Source organism: Homo sapiens, chromosome 1 (genome assembly GCF_000001405.40).
Source record: "Homo sapiens chromosome 1, GRCh38.p14 Primary Assembly".
In the NCBI taxonomy this organism is placed as follows: domain Eukaryota; kingdom Metazoa; phylum Chordata; class Mammalia; order Primates; family Hominidae; genus Homo; species Homo sapiens.
This window is the reverse complement of record NC_000001.11, coordinates 61,695,832-61,712,905: the sequence shown is the minus strand read 5'-3', so window position 1 is coordinate 61,712,905 and position 17,074 is coordinate 61,695,832. Positions and strand designations below refer to the sequence as shown.

General features: G+C 40.0%; 1 protein-coding gene across 8 annotated transcripts in view, besides 1 other annotated feature; it reads left to right on the top strand.

The window, feature by feature from the left end:
• TM2D1 (TM2 domain containing 1) overlaps positions 1–17,074 on the top strand; it is a 44,096-nt gene that overhangs the window by 12,236 nt on the left and 14,786 nt on the right. For all 8 annotated transcript variants that reach the window (NR_135161.2, NR_135160.2, NR_135162.2 and 5 more), the window contains 2 exons: positions 3,469–3,577; positions 11,881–11,972. Coding sequence is in view for 4 of the 8 variants with exons in the window: in NM_032027.3 (NP_114416.1) it covers positions 3,469–3,577; positions 11,881–11,972 (201 nt within the window). In the remaining 4 variants the exon portion in view is untranslated. The remainder of the gene's footprint in view (positions 1–3,468; positions 3,578–11,880; positions 11,973–17,074) is intronic.
• Positions 1,372–1,572: a silencer, noted in NCBI's record as "peak264 fragment used in MPRA reporter construct". NCBI's record gives its function as "represses an SCP1 promoter by STARR-seq MPRAs in K562 erythroleukemia cells {active_cell/tissue: K562}" and the evidence as "EXISTENCE:reporter gene assay evidence [ECO:0000049][PMID:32103011]".

Here is a 17,074-nt window from a genome sequence, read left to right as displayed (position 1 = left end):
GCCCAGCCAATTCTCAGCTTTTAAGTGTGCACTCTTTCCTAAAATTGATGTAAAATTGTGGAATTTTAGAGAGTAGTTCTTTCATATCTGTTCTCCAGTGGATCATGATGGCTGTGAAATTGCTGTGGTGTTTAGAGTCCACTTTGAAGAGTGCTATAACATGTTAATTTTCATGATAGTATTAAATATACTGGAGGCTGGGTACGGTGGCTCACACCTGTAATCCCAGCACTTTGGGAGACTGAGGCGGGTGAATTACTTGAGGCCAGGAGTTCGAGACTAGCCTAGCCAACATGGTGAAACCCCATCTCTACTAAAAATACAAAAATTAATTGGACATGGTAGCAGGTGCCTATAATCCCAGCTACTGGAGAGGCTGAGACATGAGAATTGCTTGAACCCAGGAGACGGAGGTTGCAGTGAGCTGAGATCGCACCAGGGCACTCCAGCCTGTGCAATAGAGTGAGACTCGGTTTCAATAAATAAATGAACAAACTGGAAATGACATTTTTTCCAACCATTTAAATTCATGTTGAAAAATTTTAGATGTCTGTTTAAATGTGTGAGGGCATATATAGTTTATAAAAATTTAATTTATAGCAGGTATATGTGCAGAATTTTTTTGAAGATGACTAATCTATAGCAGGGTTTCTCAACCTCAGTGCTATTGATTTTTTGGACTGGGTAATTCATTGTTGTGGGGAGGCTATCTTGTGCACTGTAGGATGTTTATGAGTATCCCTGGTCTGTACTCACTATATGCCCCTAGCAGCTCCCCAGTGACAACTGAAAATGTTTCCAGACCTTGCCAAATGTCCTCTGGGGAGTAAAAATGCCCCAGTTAAGAATTACTGATTTTACTGAGTTAGGGCTAGTTACATCATGGTGGCTCACACCTGTAATCCCAGTACTTTGAGTGGCTGAGGCAGGAGGATCTCCTGAGGCCAGGAGTTCCAGCCTGGCCAACATCAAAACCTCATCTCTTAAAAAAAAAAAAGAATTAGTGATCTAAAACCATGTTGATCTCCTTTCAGTGACATAGAATTTATATCAACATTTCAGACTTTTGCTGACCTCAACTTTGAGTTGTCTACTATATAACTAATCAAAAGCATGATCCAAGATGGAAGATTTTCAAGAGATATAATCTAAAGGATGTCACATTAATTCATTGGCAAAAGTCAATAAATTTTATCCCTGTGCCAAGGCAGGTAGCCAAATAGCTACATACCAATTGCCTGTTAAGTTCTGCCACATCTCTTTGTATTTTTTTTTTTTTTGAGACGGTCTCACTCTGTTGCCCAGGCTGGAGTGCAGTGGCATGATCACAGCTCACTGCAGCCTTGACCTCCCAGTCCTGCCTCAGCCTCCTGACAACAGGTGAGCACCACCATGCCTGACCAATTATTTTATTTTTTGTAGAGATGGGGATCTCTCCATGTTGCCCAGGCTGGTCTCAGACTACTGGGCTCAAGCAGTCCTCCCTCCTCTATATCCCAAAGTGCTGGGATTACAGGCGTGAGTCACTCTTCTGTCCACATCTCTTTGTATATTTTTTTTTCTTTTTTTTTTTTTTGAGGTGGAGTTTCACTCTTTCACCCAGGCTGGAATGCAATGGTGCGATCTCGGCTCACTGCAACCTCCATCTCCCAGGTTCAAGTGATTTTCCTGCCCCAGCCTCTCATGTAGCTGGGATTACAGGTGCCCGCCACCATGCCTGGCTAATTTTTTGTAGAGATGGGTTTTCGCCATGTTGCCCAGGCTGGTGTCGCACTCCAAACCTCAAGTGATCCATCTGCCTCGGCCTCTCAAAGTGCTGGGATCACAGGCTTGAGCCATTGAGCCACCGCGCCCGACCGCCCTTTGTTTTATTAAAATGGTTCTCAGTTTTATTGAATCTGTGCGTTTTATTATAAACACCACCTTGTTTTAGAAATTTCCATGCATTAAATAAATACAATTTATGGGGTAATGTAGTTAGAACTATCAGTAACCTGACAAATAGGTGTAGAAGTCATTATAGGGTTTGTTTGTTTTTTTAACCATCGTTTTCTCAGTGTACTATTCTTGCCTAAAAGAGGACAATGATTTGTTGGAAATCTTAGGATAATTATAAATGATAGAAAATACTATCTTTCTTTCCTAATCAAACTCTAGGTTCTCTGTTTTTACTTTATTATACACAGTTTTATTTTAAAAAAATATGTAATTCTTGATGCTAAACATAGAGGTAAGCTTTTTCTGAAACTAATCTAAAAGTATTAGTACTTTTCAGTCTAAAATGTTGATTTATTGAATACCTGCAATATACTGTGCCTTCTGCCAGGTACTTTTATATATTCTTACAATGGTGCTATGAGGTGGGTAGTCGTATATGTGTGTGTGTGTGTGTGTGTGTGTGTATGTGTGTATATGTGTGTGTGTGTGTGTATATATATATATGTATATATATATATACATTTTTTTTTTTTTTTTTTTTTGGGACAGGGTCTTGCTCTGTCACCCAGGCTGGAGGGCAGTGGCACAATCTTGGCTCCCTGCTATGTCTGCCTCTCAGGCCCAAGTGATCCTCTCACCTCAGCCTCCCAAGTATCTGGGATCACAGGCACAAGCCACCATGCCTGGCAAATTTTTGTATTGTTTTGTAGAGATGGGGTGTCGCCATGTTGCCCATGCTGGTCTTGAATCTGCCCATCTCAGCCTCCCAAAGTGCTGGGATTATAGGCATGAGCCACTGCACTTGGCCCTTTGGTACTATTTTTACCTACAAAGAATCGAAGGTTCTGAAAGGAGCAATGTCCAAATAAGTTGTTCTCATTCCAAAGGTCTTGTTCTTTACACTATGAGGTTATAAAGCTGTTAAGGCAGTGCTTGTCTGGGTCTGTAAGTGTTACTTCTTCTTCTTATGTCATCTGGTTATGAGGAAGGATCAAGATTGCTTAAATTCTGAAATAATCTATATCAAACCCCAGAGGGAATCAAGAAACAAATACATTTAGAATCAATGAAAATAATTTATGGCAACAATTATCTATAAGCGTTGGTATATGCTAAAAATACAAACTCAGATTATGTTAAAATAATTTAATAGATAAATTGCCCAACATATTACCAACAAAAATTTGAGAGGTATTCTTAATTCTGGAGATGAAGTAAAGGGCAGTAATGTTGTGCAATTCTTCCCTTGGTACCTTTATCAGAGGCAGGAGATTGAATTATAGATTGGCCATGCATCTAGTCCAGTGTGGCAACTCTTATATTTTTGTGTTAAGAGACTACTATACAATTTTATGTTTATCTTGCATGTAAGTACATACGTAGTGTCACTTTTCCCACCTAAAATTAAAGGCTTGTGTCATGTTATATTGGGAGGTAGTTTGTTATAACATATTTGCTAGTCTTAGAACAATTACATACTGTTTCTCCAGAAAAAAAAAATAACAGTTTCTTGACTTTTTCTGCCTTCAGTTTCCTGTTTTCCAGCACCCAACATAACTTGTAAGGATTCCAGTGGCAATGAAACACATTTTACTGGGAACGAAGTTGGTTTTTTCAAGCCCATATCTTGCCGAAATGTGTAAGTACATTACTGAAACTTAAATTTTCAGATTACTTGCCTATATTATATCTTCATTGCATGAAGAGAGGAGATAATTTATGGGGACTATCCTGAAAATGTATCTTTTATCTTTTTGCTTGTGTCAGAAAACCTTTATTTTAAGTGTTTGTTTTTTGGTTTTTGAGATAAGGTCTTGCTTAGTCACTCAGGCTGGAGTGCAGTGGCATGATCACGGCTCACTTCAGCCTCTGCCTCCCAGGCTCAAGCAATCCTCCCACCTCAGTCCTGTAAGTAGCTGGAGTACAGGTTTGTGCCACCATGCCTGGCTAACTTTTAATTATTTTGTAGAGATGAGATCTCTCTATGTTTCCCAGCGCTGGTCTCGAACTCCTGGCCTGACATGATTCTCCCATCTCGGCCTCTCAAAGTGCTGGGATTTACAGGCATGAGCCACCACACCCAGCCAAGTGTGTATTTTTTTTTTTTTTTATAAATGCAATTCACCAATCAAGTAGAGCTGAGTAGTCCAGTATGTGGGACAAATAAAGACTATAAATGGCCTCGTGCCATGTTAATTCAGGTCAGTTAGTTTATGCCACTAATTGAGTTATGAAAAAATTGTCTTCAAAATGTGGGAGATTTCTAGAGTACAAACAGCAATTGTGTACCTATTGTATCAGAAAAATGCTAATTAATTTTTTGCACATAAAGGGCATTTTAAACTTGGTTTTATTCTTTGTGATAAATATGGATGATGAATGGTAATGTTAAACAGAATTCAAAAGTTATCAGTTTGGCTAGCCAGACACAGTAGTATATGCCTATAGTCCTAGCTACCCAGGAGGCTGAGGCCAGAGGAGCCCGGAAGTTCACGTTTAGCCTGGGCAGCATAGTGAGACACTGTCTTTTATAAAAACAACAGCAAAAATGATCAGTTTGGGATAGTAAGACAAATGGCTTTCTTTTGTTAGGAATTTCTCTATTTAAAGGACTTTTAGGCCTAGAGTGGTGGCTTACACTTGTAATCCCAGCACTTTGGGAGGCCAATTGCAGGAGAATCACTTGAGGCCAGGAGTTGGGGACCAACCTGGGCAAAGTAGGGAGACCCTGTCTCTACAAAAAAATACAAAAATTAGCCCAGTGAGGTGGTGCTTGCCTGTGGTCCTAGCCACTGGGAGGCTGGGGTGGGAGAATTACTTGGGCCCAGGAGTTTGAGGTTGTAGTGAGCTATGATCACAGTAACAGAGTAGAGACCCTGTCTCTAAAAAACTTAAAATTAAACATTTTTTAAAAAGGACTTTTAAGTTTGATTTCTCTTTCTGCTAAAGCTTATTATTCATTCTTATGTTCCTGCTTTGTACTAAAAACATGATTTAGTGTTATCTATTTTTAATTGTTGGCATTATATTTTCAGCCTAAAACTGTATATTGTTACATTCTATTTGATGGCACTTAGTTTTGGTTGTTTCAAGAAATAAGCCACTGTACAGATGCATTGAACCTTAAAAAGGAAAAAGAAAAAAAAGAAATAAACCACTGTTAGACTATTGCTACAAGTTGTTGGAATTCTTAGCAAGAACTCTTAGCGTTCTTTCTTTTCTTTTGACCCTACCTCATTGAGTTAATGAGGGGCTTTTGATTCTATCTTGCTGTATAATCCTAAGCCTACCACTGATCTTCTTGGGTTCCAAGATTTTGCATTAGTCAAGTAAAAATTATTAAAAAAGAATAGTTTGCAATGTACTTAGATATGATTTCTTTTTTTTTCCATTACAGGGGTAAGTTTAAAAAATAGGGTTTAGTCAATACCTAAATTTATAGATATTTCTACCTTAAACATTCTAAACAACTAATACATTAAATGCTGGTCCAAGATATAGGTTACAGTAAGAAAATCATCTGTTGAGAACAGCTAACCACTCAGGCTGGAACTTACAGGTTTATATTATCTGTAATGCTAACACCAGAATGGTCTGTTACTTAATTTCCAAGTTAATGCTGATTTTTCTTTCAGTGTCTCAAAATGGATTAGGCTGCATACAACTGAGCTACACTAATCATACTCATAAGCATTTTTTATTTTATATTTTTTGAGACAGAGTCTTCCTCTGTAGCCCAGGCTGGAGTGCAGCGTCACAATCATGTCTCATTGCAGCCTCAACCTTCCTGGTTCAAGCCATCCTCTCATCTCAGCCTCCCAAGTAGCTGGGACTAGAGGTGCATGCCCCAAAGCTCGGCTAATTTTTGTATTTTTAGTAGAGATGGGGTTTCACCATGTTGCCCAGGCTGGTCTCAAACTTCTGGGCTCAAGCGATCAGCCCGCCTCGGGCTCTCAAGGTGCTGGGATCACAGGCATGAGCCACCATGCCTGGCCCTTATAAGATATTGATATCAATTATGATAAGAAATATAACCATCAGGGAAACCAGATATTCCAAGGCTACTGGCCAGCTTATTCCCTTCTTACAATAAAGTTTACTATTTCTTTCTTTCTTTCTTTCTTTCTTTCTTTTTTTTAAGACAGAGTTTTGTCCTTGTTTCCCAGGCTGGAGTGCAATGGTGTGATCTTGGCTCACTGCAACCTCCACCAACCTCCGCCATCACTGAACCTTCCCGGGTTCAAGCGATCTCCTGCCTCAGCCTCCCAAGTAGCTGGGATTACAGGCATGTGCCACCATGCCTGGCTAATTTTGTATTCTTAGTAGAGACGGGGTTTCTCCATGTTTGTCAGGCTGGTCTCGAACTCCTGACCTCAGGTGATCCACCTGCTTTGGCCTCCCAAAGTGCTGGGATTACAGCTGTGAGCCACCGCGCCTGGTCTAAGTTAACAATTTCAAGACAGAATTTGTGGCTCGGCGTGGTGGCTCACACCTGTAATCCCAGCACTTTGGGAGGCCAAGGCAGGCGGATTGCTTGAGCTCAGGAGTTTGAGACCAGCTGGGCAACATGGTGAAACCCCATCTCTACCAAAAAATACAAAAGTTAGCTGGTGGTGCATGTCTGTAGTCCCAGCTACTCGAGAGGCTGAGGTGGGATGATGGTTTGAGCCTGAGAGGCAGAGGTTGCAGTGAGTCGAAATCATGGCTACTGCACTACAGCATTGGTGACAGAACCAGATCCAGTCTCAAACAAATAAAAGAAAAAGAATGAGCATTGCTCAACAGAACAATGGGAGTTAGACTGATGGGTAATTTTGATGGTAAGAGTGGCAAAGCTAAGATAACTGGATAAATAATTTTGCTTTATCGAGATATTAGGTATGTGCCTACCAAAAGGCCAGCTGCTGTGCAGCTACTGAATAAAGACTCAGCGATACATTCTTACTCATTAGGTGTCCCTTTTCCAGTTTCATATTTTCTTTGTACTCCTGTTAGCATATTGTTTTTCAAACTATATATAATAGTTTAATACTTGATTAAAATTTCATCTTAGTATTGCAAATATTCTATAATGTATTCTCCAGAAACTGAAGTCTGGTAACCATGTCTGATTGATGACCAAGCCACCCACCTATTTACACTGGCCATCTATGTTAGTATTACATCATTGCTTCATTTGGGTTAACTTGGAGGTCTGGGTGGTGGTGGTGAGGCCATAGTTGTTCCATGTAGTCATGAATGGGCCTTGCTCCTTTCGTCTTTTGGCTTTGCTTTCTGTAGTCCTTAGAGTCCTTTCCACTAAGGCAGCAGATGGGAAAGAGGAGAGGGAAACCTTTGTAGGAGTATTTTATGGGCCAGACTTGGAAATGGTGTACACTTACATCTTCCTTCCATTGGCCAAAACTCAGTTATGGCTGCACTTAACTGCAAGGTGAACTAGGAAATGTAGGTTAGCTGTATATTCATAAGAAAAAGAGAAATGAGCCAGGTGTGGTGGCTCACTCCTGTAATCCCAGCACTTTGGGAGGCTGAGGCGGGCAGATCGCTTGAGGTCAGGAGTTCAAGACCAGCCTGGCCAATATGGTAAAACCCCGTTTCTACTAAAAATATAAAAATTAGCTGGGCATGGTGGTGCGTGCCTGTAATCCCAGCTACTCAGGAGCTGAGGCATGAGAATCGCTTGAACCTGGAAGGTGGAGGTTTCAGTGAGCCGAGATCAAGATTGTGCCACTGCACTCCAGCCTGGGCAACAGAGAAAGAGAAATGGCTCGGTGAATAACTAATCTCTGCTATACTACCAGTTTTCAGATTATTCTTTAGGGTGATTTACTTACATAGATAATTGCTTTTCTAATTTCATTTCCCTTCCCAGCCAAGCTTTTTGAAACTTGTTCTGATAATACTTATCTGTTACAAGATTTTCTGTCTAATGCAGTATGGCTTTTGGCCATGCTGATATTCACCAGCAGTCTTTGTCAATATATCAAAGGAGTGTTTACAGTTCATATCTTAATCTTTCTGCAGCATTTGGCTATTCCCTTCTTTCTCTCTCTCTTTTTAATATAGAGACAGGGTGTCACTATGTTGACCAGGCTTTTCTGTCTCAAATTCATGGCCTGAAGTGATCCTCCCACCTCAGCCTCCTAAAGTGCTGGGATTACAGGTGAGAGCCACTGTGCCCAGCCTGGCTGTTTCCTTTCTTAAAATACTTTCTTGGCTTTCTTAAAATGCTTTATTGGCTAGGCCCAGTGGCTCAGCCTGTAATCCCAACACTTTGGGAGACTGAGGTGGGTGGATCACCTGAGGCCAGAAGTTTGAGACCAGCCTGGCCAACAAGGTGAAACCCTGTCTCTACTGAAAATACAAACATTAGCCGGGAGTGGTGGTGGGCACCTGTAATCCTAGCTACGCGGGAGGCTGAGGCAGGAGAATCACTTGAACCCAGGAGGTGGAGGTTGCAGTAAGCCGACATTGTGCCATTGCGCTCCAGCCTGGGTGACAAGATTGAAACTAAATCTCAAAAAAACAAAACAAAACAAAACAAAAAACCAAAAAAACTTTCTTTTTTTGGCTTATAGTGTAAAACACTCTTCTGTGTCCCTTCATTCCTATTTCTTTGCTTCTTCCTTAAGTCTTGATATGCTTGGTCCTTTTTCCTTTTTTCATTCATCCATCCCTTTGGCTTCTCTCATCATCTTTGTATATATATATGTGCCATATAAAAAGTTGGTGATACGTTTTATATTCTATTCAGTTTTAGACCTTAATATATATAAATAGCCAGGCGCAGTGGCTTATGCCTGTAATCCCAGCACTTGAGGAGGCCAAGGCGGGCAGATCACCTGAGGTCAGGAGTTCGAGACCAGCCTGGACAACATGGTGAAAACCCGTCTTACTAAAAATACAAAAATTAGCTGGATGTGGTGGCTGGTGCCTGTAATCCCAGCAGTTGAGGAGGCCAAGGTGGGTGGATCACCTGAGGTCAGGAGTTCGAGACCAGCCTGGACAACATGGTGAAACCCCGTCTTACTAAAAATACAAAAATTAGCCGGGTGTGGTGGTGGGTGCCTGTAATCCCAGCTACTCAGGAAGCTGAGGCAGGAGAATCGCTTGAATCCGGGAGGTGGAGGTTGTAGTAAGCCGAGATTGTGCCATTGCACTCCAGTCTGGGTGACAAGAGCGAAACTCCATCTCAAAAAAAAAAAAAAATGCATATATATATATATATATATATATATATATATATATAAAGATTGGCTAGGTGCAGTGGCTCATACCTGTAGTCCCAACACTTTGGGAGGCCAAGGCCCACAGATAACTTGAGGTCAGGAATTTGAGACCAGCCTGGCCAACATGGTGAAATTTTGTCTCTACTAAAAATACAAAAATTAGCTGGGTGTGGTGGCACATGCCTGTAATCCCAGCTACTTGGGAGGCTGAAGCAGGAGAATTGCTTGAACCCGGAAGGTGGAGGTTGCAATAAGCCGAGATCGTGCCATTGCATTCCATCCTGGGCAACAGAGTGAGACTCTGTCTCAAAAAAAAAAAAAAAAATTATGTGAAACATATATATATGTATATATAATATATACTAGTATATTATATATAGTAATATGTCATATATAACATTACCATCTTATATTAAATATAATAATATTTAATGTAAAACATATTACCATCTTCATATATAATATATAAAATATAATTATATATTTTAGATCATATATAATATATATAAATATGGTAATATTCATTAGGCACAACAATGGGAGAGCTTTGCACAGTGACATGTGCCTGTAGTCACATGCCAGTGTGTCCAGCTCTCCCTTTGTTTTTTCTCTTTTGTTCTTTTTTCTGTTTTTTGGAGACAGTCTTGCTCTGTCACCCAGGCAGGAGTGCAATGGCGTGATCTTGGCTCACTGCAACCTCCGCTTCCCAGGTTCAAGCGATTCTCATGCCTCAGCCTCCCAAGTAGCTGGGACTACAGGCATATACCACCACGCCCGGCTAATTTTTGTATTTTTAGTAGAAGTGGGGTTTTACCGTGTTGGCCAGGCTGGTCTCAAACTCCTGGCCTCATGTGATCCAACCGCCTCAGCCTCCCAAAGTGCTGGGATTACAGGCGTGAGCTACCACAGCTGGCCCCATTGTTTCTTAAGCTCTCTAATATCTAAAATATATTACCATCTTTATATATGTTACATATATATATATATAAGGCCTAAAATTGAATTGAATTGAATATCAATATATTAACTATCTTTATATATATTATATAGGTAAGGTCTAAAATTGAATTGGACCAGGCATGGTGGCTCATTCCTGTAATCCTAGCACTTTGGGAGGCCAAGGCGGGTGGGTCACTTGAGGCCAGGAGTTTGATACCAGCCTGGCTAACATGGTGAAACCCCTTTTCTACAAAAATACAAAAATTAGCCAGCTGTGGTGGTGTGCGCCTGTACTCCCAGGTACTTGGGGGGCTGAGGTGGAAGAATCGCTTGAACCTGGGAGGCAGAGGTTGCAGTGAGCCGAGATCACGCCACTGCACTCCAGCCTGGGCAACAGAGTGAGATTCCATCTCAAAAAAAAAAGAAATAAAATTGAATTGAACATCAATATATTACCATCTTTATATATATTATATATATAAGGTCTAAAATTGCATTTGTTTCTTTTTCTTCAAATCCTTTCCTCCTTTGTCTCATTGAATGGCACCAGTTCTACCCAGTTTCTTAAGCAGAAACTTTGGATTCATTACTTATTTTTTATTATTTTTTTGAGACAGAGTCTCACTCTGTCACCCAGGCTGGAGTGCAGTGGTGCAATCTTGGCTTACTGCAACCTCCACCTCCTGGGTTCAAGTGATTCTCCTGCCTCAGCCTCCCGAGTAGCTGGGATTACAGGTGCCTGCCACCACGTCCAGCTAATTTTTGTATTTTTAGTAGAGACTGTGTTTCACTCTGTTGGCCAGGCTGTTCTCGAACTCCTGACCTCAGTGATCCACCTGCCTCGGCCTCCCAAAGTGCTAGGATTACAGGCGTGTGCCACCGCGCCCGTCTTGGAGTCATTCTTGACTTCTCCTTTTCCCTCATTCCCCACATGTAGCCTGTTTGCTTCTGCCTTGTTAGTATTTCCCAATTTTGTTCACTTCTTTCTCCCACTGTTACTGCCCATTAGATTTCAGCATTAGTTTTTGCATTGCCTTCTAAATTATTTTTCTGCTTCTAGTTTGGTGCCCTATTCCATTGTAGATGAGGTGCTCCTGCCCTCAGCATAAAGTTTGACATCCTTATAACGTTAGACACATAAACAGCATCTCTGGGCCACTTACTACTTTTTCTAACTCCCTACAAATATGCAATGCAGTGCAATAAAATACACACACACACACACACACACACACACACACACGAAAGAGAATTATGAGCAGGGATCTTACTTGATGAAATTTGACTTCAAAATGATAGTTCTGGCTGTCTTTTTTGCCTGTGACACTCTTTCCTCAGAAGCATGGCATGGCCATCTCACTCACTTCCCTCAGGTCTCTGCTCAAATATCACCTTCTTAATGAGGCCTACTCTTACCACTCCATTTAAATGGCTCCCGGCATTCTACACAGCCTGCTCTACTTCTTTTTTTTTTTTTTTTTTTTTTTTTGTTAACATTTATGACTTTCTAACATAGTATATGATTTATTTTTTAAATATATTTGTGTTTATTGCTTGTTACCACCAGCCTGTAAGCTACACGGGGATAGGGATCTTTGTTGCTTTTATTCATTAATATATTCCAATAGCCTAGAATAGTGCCTGACACACAGGAGGCATCTAAAAAACATTAACTGAGTGAAAGAATGAACCAATTAACAAGTAGTAGTTAATAATTTTTTTTTCTAAAATGTTCACATTGGAAATATGATACTCAGATTTTAATTTTTTGCAGAAATGGCTATTCCTACAAAGTGGCAGTCGCATTGTCTCTTTTTCTTGGATGGTTGGGAGCAGATCGATTTTACCTTGGATACCCTGCTTTGGGTGCGTATGTTTCATTAAAAAAAAATCCTTATGAAACCTATATTTTAGTTCATTGTAGGTGTTCTTATGGATTAAATCTCTGTGTATTTATTATAAGTTCTATATAATTGGAGTTGAGTAGTTAATGTTCTTCTGTGAGTATAGAGCTATCAATTAGCCCAACAGTTCAGCTTAGGTAAGAAATACTGACTTTTCCTATGTTTTCACCTTTATGAAAACACACACAAGATAGTGGAGGCATTTACTTACGATAGTACACTGGAACTGTCACTGCTAGTGCTGGGCACACACTGGATGTTTAGTTAATGTTTTACGAATAAATGTACATCCTCTACCACTCCAAAAAATATTTCCTTCTGCCCAAATCTCTTTCACCATTGCCCTGGGATTAGAAACTATGCACTTCTTTCAGAACAAGTTGGGGTTGGAACTTTGGTGATCCACTTGAGCTGGGGTGGGAGCCTGACTTCTATCACCCTTAGCCCCCCTTTCTATATCTTCCTTCTGGCTGTAATCACATTTACTATAGTTACTAATGCTTATGAAAACTATTTACATTTTATGATAGCTTTTGTTTAAACAGTACTTTCACATGCCTGCCCTTATTGAAGACTTACAACCCTCTGAGTTTATCATCCTCTTTAAATCCTCTTTAACAGGTAAGGAAACTGTCACCAGAGAGGTTAAGGGATTTACTGAGTCTAGAGGCTTTCCTTTATTCTGTGACATATTTGTTGTTATCATCTTTGTTTTATGGATAGGAAAATTGTCACGAGATTAAGAGATTTACCCAAGGACACTCAGCTAGTGACCTCAATTTGAACCCAAATTTTCTGGCTCCAGAGATCATGCTTTATTTACTGTAGTACTCTGCTTCTATATTAGCCCTTCACTGAGCAAATTTAAAGTTTTTGAATGCTCTGCCTACTAGCTAGCAAAGCTAACCTTATTTCTTCCATGTTGCTACCCACAAAAGATGAAAGAGAAGTCTTCACTGTGGGGTTGATGGTAGATATATTTCTGACAGCTATACTAAAACTCAGTGTTGTAAGTTCCTAAGTAAAAGTCATGAAGTACTATATATACTTGTTTAGTTAATTAAACATATATTCAACATTTAAATAACTAAGTGATATGGAAATAATGATGAAGGTCACAGTGTATATTGGTTAAAAATAAAATAAATATGTTAGTAGGCCAATTTATGGTACAGCGCTGTAACAGAACCATAACCGTGCTGTGAGAGTACAGAAAAGGGACTGATGCAGTTGACTTAAGGAAGTTCTTAGATATGGTGACATTTGAGCTAGGGTTTGAAGGATGAAAAGATTACAGAGGTTGAAGGCATTGCAGAGAACAGCATGTGTAAAGCATATAGTGTACACTGGGAGATTAGGGGACAATTTAGCTGATCGTGTAGGAAGAACAATGCAGGAGGTGACACTGCCTACAGAGGTAGTCTATGGTCCGATTATAAAATGCTTTGAGTATCTTGCTATGGAGTTGGGTCCTTTAGATATCAAAAGTTATCCTTTTAGGTATCAGAAGCAATAGAATATTTTTTCTTTTTCTTTCTTTTTTTTTTGTGTGACAGAGTCTCACTCTGTTGCCCAGGCTGGAGTGCAGTGGTGCGATCACGGCTCACTGCAACCTCGACCTCCTGGGCTCAAGGTATGCTCCGTCCTCAGCTCTGCCCCAAGCAGCTGGGACTACAGGCATGTACCACCATGCCTGACTTATTTCGGTATTTTTCTGTAGAGATGGGATTTTGCCGTGTTGCACAGGCTGCTCTAGAACTCCTGGGCTCAAGCTGTCCTCTCACCTCAGCCTCCCAAAGTGCTGGGATTACAGGGATGAGCCACAGTGCCTGGCCAATTTAAAATTTTTAAGTATTTTAAATAAATTGTAATTTCTATTAAGAATTCAAGGTTAAGGAATTTAGGCATTTTTATTTTAAATGATCACTGCCTCAAAAAAAATTCTTAACTACGTAATACAATGTTGACTGCAATGAAAGTAGTTATAGACAAAATCTAAAATTCAATTTTTTGCTGGGTGCGGTGGTGTGTGCCCATAGACTTAGCTACTCAACAGGCTGAGGTTGGGGGATTGCTTGAGGCCAGGAGTTTGAGGCCAGCAGAGACAACATAGTGACATAGTGAGATCCCATTTCTACAAAAAAGAAAAAAAAAAATCCCATTTTACAACTAACCTTACTTAGTCTTTCTTCATGGTTATGAAAAGCAGTGGTCCTACTTATATTAGCTTTTTTTTTTTCCTTCATAGTGCTAATTATAAATCTGTTAGCCTCGGGGATTTGTTTATTCATTCATTTCAGTCTTCCTCTGGAATATACATTCTTTTTTTTTTTTTTTTAGGCGGAGTTTCACTCTTGTTGCCCAGGATAGAGTGCAATGGTGCGATCTTGGCTCACCGCAACCTCTGCCTCCTGGGTTCAAGTGATTCTCCTGCCTCAGCCTCCCAAGTAGCTGGATTACAGGCATGCGCCACCATGCCCAGCTAATTTTGTATTTTTAGTAGAGACAGGGTTTCTCCATGTTGGTCAGGCTGGTCTCGAACTCCTAACCTCAGGTGATCTGTCTGCCTCGGCCTCCCAAAGTGTTGGGATTACAGGCGTGAGCCACTGCGCCTGGCCTGGAATGTACATTCTTAAAGGCAGAGGCCTTATCTGTCTTAGGCAAGTTGGTATCCTGAACAGAACCTGACAGTAAGACTCTGATAAATATTTGTCATATGAATATCAAAAAAAACTAGAAACAGGCTAAATGTTCAGTAGGGAGGAACTGTCTAAAAAAATTAAGGTACAGTGCGTAACACAACAGAATACTATGCAGCCATTTAAAACAATCACATAGAAATATGTTTATTGGGAAAGTAATGTAATAACACCCATAACAGAGTAAGATGATAAATTTAAGAAAATCTAGATACTTTGCTACAGAACACTTTCTTAGGGATGCTTCACAAAAATGAACATGAGAGGTTTCTGCTAAGATAAAATATTGGATAAGGGAATAATATCTTTGTTTGGAACTGGTAAATATTACCTACTCCTGGAGTAATACATTTAAGGAAACTAGAGAACAGATCAGAGATAATATTTAAAAGTTTAAGGAACTAACAAATTTATAGTGACAGAAAGCAGATAAGTGCTTGCTGGGGAAAGACGGGGGCAAGGAGAGACAAGAAGTAGAAATTACAAAGGGGCATGAGGAAACTATTGGGTGTGACAGATATGTTCTTTTTTTATTATAGTGATTGTTTCACAGGTGTTTACAAGTGTCAAATTTATCAAATTGTACATTTTAAATATGTACAGTGTATGTCATTGCATGTCATTTAGGTCATTGTATGTCATTTTAATGTATGTCATTTATAACTCAATAAAGCTGTTTTAAAAAATCAAGAGGCTGGGTGTGGTGACTCACACTTGTAATTTCAACATTTTGGGAGGCCAAGGCAGGAGGATCAGTTGAGGCCAGGAGTTCAAGACCAACCTGGGCAACACAGTGAGACCCTTGGAAATAGTGAGACCCTGCAAAGGAAAGAAGGAAGGGAAGAAGGAAAGAAGGAGAAAGGAAAAGAGGGAAAGAAAAAAAGAAAAGAAAGAAACTCCTGGAGTAACACATTTAAACTTACCAGTTCACTGTTAAAAAAAAAACTTGAAGGTTTAATCATTACAGTGACTTACAGCATATCTTACTCCAAACGTGTGATGTTAACTATGGTCCATCTATTTCTAGAAATTTAAGGCAAAGGATGATTTTAGTAATGAAGTTTCCAATAATGCCATCTTAAACTTGTTTTAGGTTTCCAAATATAAAAATACTTCATGAACACAGACAGGAAGGGCAATAAGAATTAAACGAGATAAGATACATTTGATAAATGTTAGCCCAGCAACTACTTTTGTTGTCACTATTTCTGCTACTACAGTTATTATAATCAAAAACTTCATTCATTCCTGAGAGGTATGAGAAAAAAAAAAAAATTTAGGCCAGGTGTGATGGCCTGTAATCGAAGCATTTTGGGAGGCCAAGGCAGGAAGATCACTTTATCCCAGGAGTTCAAGACTAGCCTGGGCAACATAGTGAGACCCTGTCTCTACAAACAATTTTAAAAACTAGCCAGGCATAGTGGGTTATGGGGCAGGGATAGGGTGGCATGCTGCTTCAGACAGGCAGGTTAGGGAAGACTTCTCTAAAGAAGTGGTCTAAAAGGAAGAACATCCTTGGAAAATGGCACAAAAAAAGCCAAAGCCCTGATGTGATTACCTATTCTTCATGGATTAGCAGTTAAAGATATAACTTTAGAGGGACTATACTTAATATTCTCTCTTTTTCTTCTTTCTTTCTTTTTTTTTTTTTTTTGAGACAAGGTTGCCCCGGCTTTGTTGCCCCGGCTGGAGTCCAGTGGCACAGTCTCAGCTCACTGCAACCTCCGTCTCCCAGGTTCAAGTGATTCTCCTGCCTCAGCCTCCTGAGTAGCTGGGATCACAGGCGTATGCCACCATGCCTGGATAATTTTTGTATTTTTAGTAGAGACAAGGTTTCGCCATGTTGGCCAGGCTGGTCTCTAACTCCTGACCTCAGGTGATCCACCTGCCTCGGCCTCCCAAAGTGCTGGGATTATAGGCATGAGCCACCGCGCCTGGCCAATATTCTTTTTTATAAACAAATTGAAGAAAAAGAAACTATGACATTCTCAAGTTTATACTAACATGCTTTGTGAAGAGGAATACATTTCGGAAATATGAAATACGCTGGATAAAACCTCAGCAGACAATTTTCTTTGGGCAACTAATAGTACCATGCAACTAATGAAAAAACTAAAGGAGTTTTTATTAAGGTAATGGATGAAATGATGGGAGTGTTTGGGAAGCAGAAATACGAGAATATTTATCAATTTATGCAACAAATATTGAGCATTTACTATGTGCCAGGCAATGTTGTTGGCACTAAGGACACAGGAGTAAAGAAAACAGATAAAAGGCCCTGCCCTAATGGGGCTTCTGTGTGACAGATAGTAATCAAAGATAAAATGTTAGGTAAGTGAATGTTTTGAGGAAAACTAAAAGCAAA